The sequence below is a fragment of the Homo sapiens genome, chromosome 5, assembly GCF_000001405.40.
Source record: "Homo sapiens chromosome 5, GRCh38.p14 Primary Assembly".
NCBI lineage: Eukaryota > Metazoa > Chordata > Mammalia > Primates > Hominidae > Homo > Homo sapiens.
The window spans coordinates 175,087,425-175,092,935 of NC_000005.10; the positions used below are offsets into that span (position 1 = coordinate 175,087,425).

General features: G+C 43.9%; 1 long non-coding RNA gene across 1 annotated transcript; it reads right to left on the reverse strand.

The window, feature by feature from the left end:
- Positions 1–455: 455 nt before the first annotated feature.
- On the reverse strand, positions 456–5,140 carry LOC107986484 (uncharacterized). Its single transcript, XR_001743010.1, has 3 exons — positions 5,008–5,140; positions 4,750–4,905; positions 456–571 (listed from the first exon to the last, which is right to left on the reverse strand). It is a non-coding gene; the product is annotated as an uncharacterized LOC107986484 (long non-coding RNA).
- Positions 5,141–5,511: the final 371 nt, after the last annotated feature.

Below are 5,511 nucleotides of genomic sequence, written 5' to 3' on the forward strand. Positions count from 1 at the left end.
TATATATTCTTACTGGTCTTACTTTCCTGAATTAGCCAATCATTTGTACTGAAATGGAAAAGATAGGGCAATCCATAGTTCTTTTTCTTTCAGTCCTTCCTTACTCACCATTAAACCCAAAACAGAGAGTGCTGGAGGAACATCTGAAAGAGCAAAATGAAAACAGTTGAGCTAGTTTTCTGCAGCTTTTCCACCATTCCCATAAAAATGAAATACATATGCACACGCAAGCCTTGAGGTATGAATTGTATAATTTTGGCAGTTCTGCATATGGTCAAATGCTCTTAGGTTTGAATTATAAAATTGGCATTGCACAATATAAAATGAATGATCACATACATGCTAATCATTGATAATTTTAACCTTTCTTCATTTATTTAGACATTAAATAGCAAATAAAAACCACCATGACAAGTCAAGAAAGAGACCATGAAGAAGGAAAAAGCTTATGTTTTGATATTTTTAATAGCACTTTCCTGCTTTTTGAACAAGGACCCTACCTTTTCATGTTGCACTGGGCTCTGCAAATTACATAGTTGGTCCTGGATGTCTTGCCAGGCTCGTTGGCCTCCTGGAGAACAAGGGTGGACACTAAGCATCTCTTCAGGCTTTGGGTACTGGAGTCAGTTAAGGAGCTATAGTTGGAAAGTTATCCTGCCCAGCATCTTTCACTATTTGACCACCCAGGACCCATGGAGAAATTTACTAGGGAGAAAGTCATCTGTCTTAAGCTTGTGAGTACTGATAAGGCTATAGAAAAGATGTCTAATTAGTGTATGTATGGAATATGTGTGAGTGTGAGTGTGTGTGCGTGTAAACATGTGAGTCAATTTCACAAGAGACTAATATATAGACACGAATGGCAGGATATAAATTTACAATAAGAAATGGAGTTGGCACGGGCACTAGGAACTGCATCCTTATTTCCCCCTGAAAGTCACGTTGTAAAAGGAGGCAAGTGAAACATATAAAGTGCTCTGATGTATTAGGGTTCTTATTGCAGACCACAAACTCTACTCAAGCCTATTTAAGCAGAGCAGAGTTTATAACAGAGGAGTGGTTTGCAGAGGATATTACAAAGCTCAGTCAGCTACTCACCAGATCTGTTTCATCTTTTTTTTTTTTGGACACACATCTAGGATACATTTTAAAAACGCTTATGTGGTTAGATGTGGCCATGTGACTGAATTCTAGCCAATGGGATGTGAACAGTCACAATGTGCTCCACTCCCAGGCCTGGCCCATAACAGCCACCCATGTGCAGACCCTCATGGTCTTTACTTTTATCAGTTCAATGTAGACAGCCATGATAACCTTGGAAGCCATGTGCTGAGGTTGCAAGAAGCCTGGATTCCTAAACAGATGCTTGAAAGGAAAACTACCCACTGACCAGGAACCCTCATTTTGGACTTTACGTAAGAGAAAAATATGCTTCTCTTGCATTAAGCCATTGAGATATTTGGGAGTTTATATGTTACAGCAGCCAGCATTACCCTAATGGAAACTTAGAATTTCTAGAAGATTTGGGGAAGCATGTTTAGATACTACAGAGTCAGACACGAATGCAGCCAAAAACAGACCCAGTCATACCATGGGATAATTCTAAAGGAAATCTTATTGCCCTATCTCATGCTCTTTCGGCACAATGAGAGCTGACCAAGAAGCTCCACCATCCTTGCTCTGGAAGATCCAAACTCCCCTGCCAACAAGCTTGGCACGAGCTCTACCCTGCCTGACTGCCGCCAGGTGTTCGCTTCCACCTGCCAACTCTTGCATGGTGGACCCAGGTTGCAGACAGAACTTTAGCTACGAGGAAGTCTGGGAAACACACTTCATAGCTTCCCTGCCTTGGTGATACAGGAAGGCATGTCAGAGAGGACTGAATGAACCAGTCTGCAGAATCTGCCCTAATGGTAAGGTTAGACCAGAAGAAGTGGAATTAATTGGGTGATTGAATAGTTTTCAGCTTCAAGTTATGTATTCATCCCACAACAACCTGACAGGGGGTCAGCTGCTTTGGGCCCACTACTCCTAACTGTTCAAGGCATCCTGATTCCTGTGTTTTCCAGGGTTGAAAGCTGACAAGCCTTCTTTTGATTTTGTCAATATTTTTATTCCTCTTTCCTGGACTTTGAAACACTCTCTATTTTTAAGCCACTGTACACCCTGATGTTTATGTGATTTATGTGGTTAAACTCTTAGGAAAGGAGCAATTGCTTTCATTGACCTTATTCCAGGATCTTACTAGACCTCTTGAATTTTTCTCATGAACCCCTCTAGAAAGAACATGCTTGGAGAAGTGGTGGCCCCACCTATTCTCACCTTCAAAGGAGCTTCAGAGCCAAAGCTTTCTCGGTAAGGGAATGCAGCAATCACTTTGCTTTACACTGAGGCAGCATGATTGAGAGCCTGGGTTCTGAGGCCAGATTGCTCGGGTTCAAAATCTGCCTCTGCTATTTTCCAAATACATGAAGTAGAGTAATTATTCAATCTTTATGGGTTTCAGCTTTCTCTGTAAAATGTGGTTAGTGGTAATGCCCCCTTATGGAGTCATGATGGAGAGTAAATGAGTTAATTCACATGGTGGTCTTAGAACAGAGCCTGGCACAAAGGAAGTGACCCGTAGGTGCCGGCTGTCATGATGATGATTCCATGGAGCAAACCTAATTGCACTGTTACCTTATTTTCAAATTTATTTTTGCTAGTAATAATCTTGCTTTATTAAATCTTCCTTCCATCTCCTGCCCAAGATGATTTCACAGAGTTTTCTGCATCCTGGAATAGGGTGCTTATCTTCTGGTTTGTTTATATCACCTCCCCAGAACACACCTCTGATTTTATGATGAGGGCTGGTGGCACACCTGAACTAGAAATTCTGGCACTCAGATTGTAGGAGACTTTTGAGGAATAAATCTGTTTCCTAGAGTAGAGCTATAGAGAAGCAGATGCATTTGAGCCCACACTGCCAAGCTGTTGCAGTTCAGAGAGAACATAAGGAGGTCAAAGAAAGAAATTAAAAAAATTGTGGGAAGGTGCTCAGAGCAGATGGTTAGGAATGGCACCAAAGGGCACGAGTGGAGGCTGGCGCATGAGGTTAAGGCTCTGTTCTTAGTCTGTGCCACAGTTGTGCTGACCTCACATCACAGGTTCTTGCCCAGGTACTTCTGGTACTAAGAAAGTTAGCAAGCCACGTGCATTATGCTTAGGTTTCCGAGCTCTGAAAACCTGAGCTCAAGTCCTGGCTTGGTCAACCCATAGAAGAGGGTCTCTGGAAACTTCCTTACCCCCATGGAGCCTCAGTTCCCTTCAGCTGTAAAATCGGAATCATCGCATGTATCTTTCAAGGCTATTTTGGGGGTTAGCTGATATAATAGGAACGAAAGCACTAGCATAGTATCTGGCATGAAATAGGTTCCCTAAAAATGTGATGCAAATTGGACTTTGTATTTTATATTCTAAAAGAAAAGGAATTCTATTGAAAAGAAAATTGCTCTTTATAAGTTTTGCCTGTAGCAGTAATAGAGTGTGTGGTAGGAGGAAGCAAAAGACAAAAAACCTCAAATAGTTTCAACTCCAGCTTTTGAAGCCTCCAAGTGAACTCTATAATTTGGCTTCTTTCAGCCCTTCTGAGGACTGAAAGCCTTCACGTATAGAGAGAGCCAAGGATGCCAGCCTCTTCCATTATGGGCTCTGATTTATCATTCATTGCAGCAAGAGACATCTGCTTGGTGAGTTCTTTGAGGGCATGACAGAAAGGCATCTCCTTGAATTCAGCAGATTTTACAGTCACTCAGATCTCTAAGGGAAATGATTGCAAGGTAGCCGAGTGTGACAGGAGGGTTGGCTGTCTGTCCACTGCTGGCCTGCTACCCTGGCAGAGGCAGCGGACTCAGGAACTGCCCAAGAATCTTTTGCTCACCTTCCCCCAGCTCAGCTCCCTTACTCAGTTTCTGCTCTGAGGACTGGAGCAATCCATACAGCCCCTCGCTAAGGAAGTTACTGTTATGCACTATATTATGCCTTCCCGCAAGTTCACATGCTGAGTCCTAGCTCCCAGTACCTCAGAATGTGACTGTAGTTGGAAACAGAATCTTCAAAGAGGTAATTAGCTTATAGTGGGGTCATTAGGGTGGGCCCTAATCCAATATGTCTAGTATTCTTATAAGACGAAAAGATTAAGACACAGACATGTATGTAGAAGAGACCATGTGAAGATAGAGAGAAAACAGCCACCTATAAGCCAAGGAGATAGCCCTCAGGAGAAATCAACAAATCTCAGACATCCTGCCTCCAGACTGGTGAGAAAACAAATTTCTGTTGTACTTTTTTTTTTTTTGAGATGGAGTCTCACTCTGTTGCCCAGGCTGGAGTGCGGTGTGCAGTGGATGATCTCGGCTCACTGCAAGGTCTGCCTCCCAGGTTCAAGCGCTTCTCCTGCCTCAGCCTCCAGAGCAACTGGGATTACAGGTGTGCGCCACCACACCTGGCTAATTTTTGTATTTTTAGTAGAGACGGGGTTTCACCATGTTGGCCAGGCTGGTCTCAAGCTCCTGACCTCAAGGGATCCAACCACCTAGGCCTCCCAAAATGCTGGGATTACAGGTGTGAGCCACCACACCTGGCCATAGACTTGATGTCTTCTGTTCATTCCACTTTCTCCAGGGAGATGGGGCCATCCTTGAGGGGAAGGACTGTGGGTCTCCTACCTCTGCAGCTCCCACAACATCTAACACTGGGCAGGCGATCTACCTGATTTCTCAGTGCATCCTCCTATTCATTCCTTTGGATGAGAGGTGGTGGTAACATCAGAAGAGATTAATCAAGAAGCTGTTTGTGGAAGGAAGCATCTGAAGGCAGTGGGGGCATTCATTGCTCAGCAAACAGGTGCTAGTCTCCAGGGTTCTCCTGAGAAGCAGAACCAATAAAATGTGTGAGACTGTGTGTGTGTGTGTGTGTGTGTGTATACATGTGTACATATGTATATGTGTACGTATACATTATACTTACATTATAGGGTATTGACTCTCCTGATTACAGAAGCTACGCAGTTCCACGACTTGCTGTCTGTAAGCTGGAGACCCAGGAAAGCCAGTGGTATAATTCCAAGACCCGAGAGCCAATCCAGATCTGAGAGCCTGAGACAGAAGTACTGAGGGCAGAAGATCAATGATCCAGCTCAGTAAGGCAGAGAGAGGATTCAGCTTTTCTTCACGGTTTTGTTCTATTCAGGCCCTCAACAGATGGCATGATGTCCACTCACACTGGGGAAGCCATCAGCTTGACTCAGTCCACCAGTTCAAATGCTAGTCTCTTTCAACAACACTGTCACAGACACACCCAGAAATCATGTTTAACCAGATATCTGCGTATCTCTTGGCCCAGTCAAATTGACACATAAAACTGTCACACAAGCTCTGTAGATTGCAGGTGAGGGAGATATGCCCCAGCCCTGCAGGGGGGCAGGCCTACTAGAGAAAGACAAACCCATGACCTCACTCTGCTGCTCAGGCT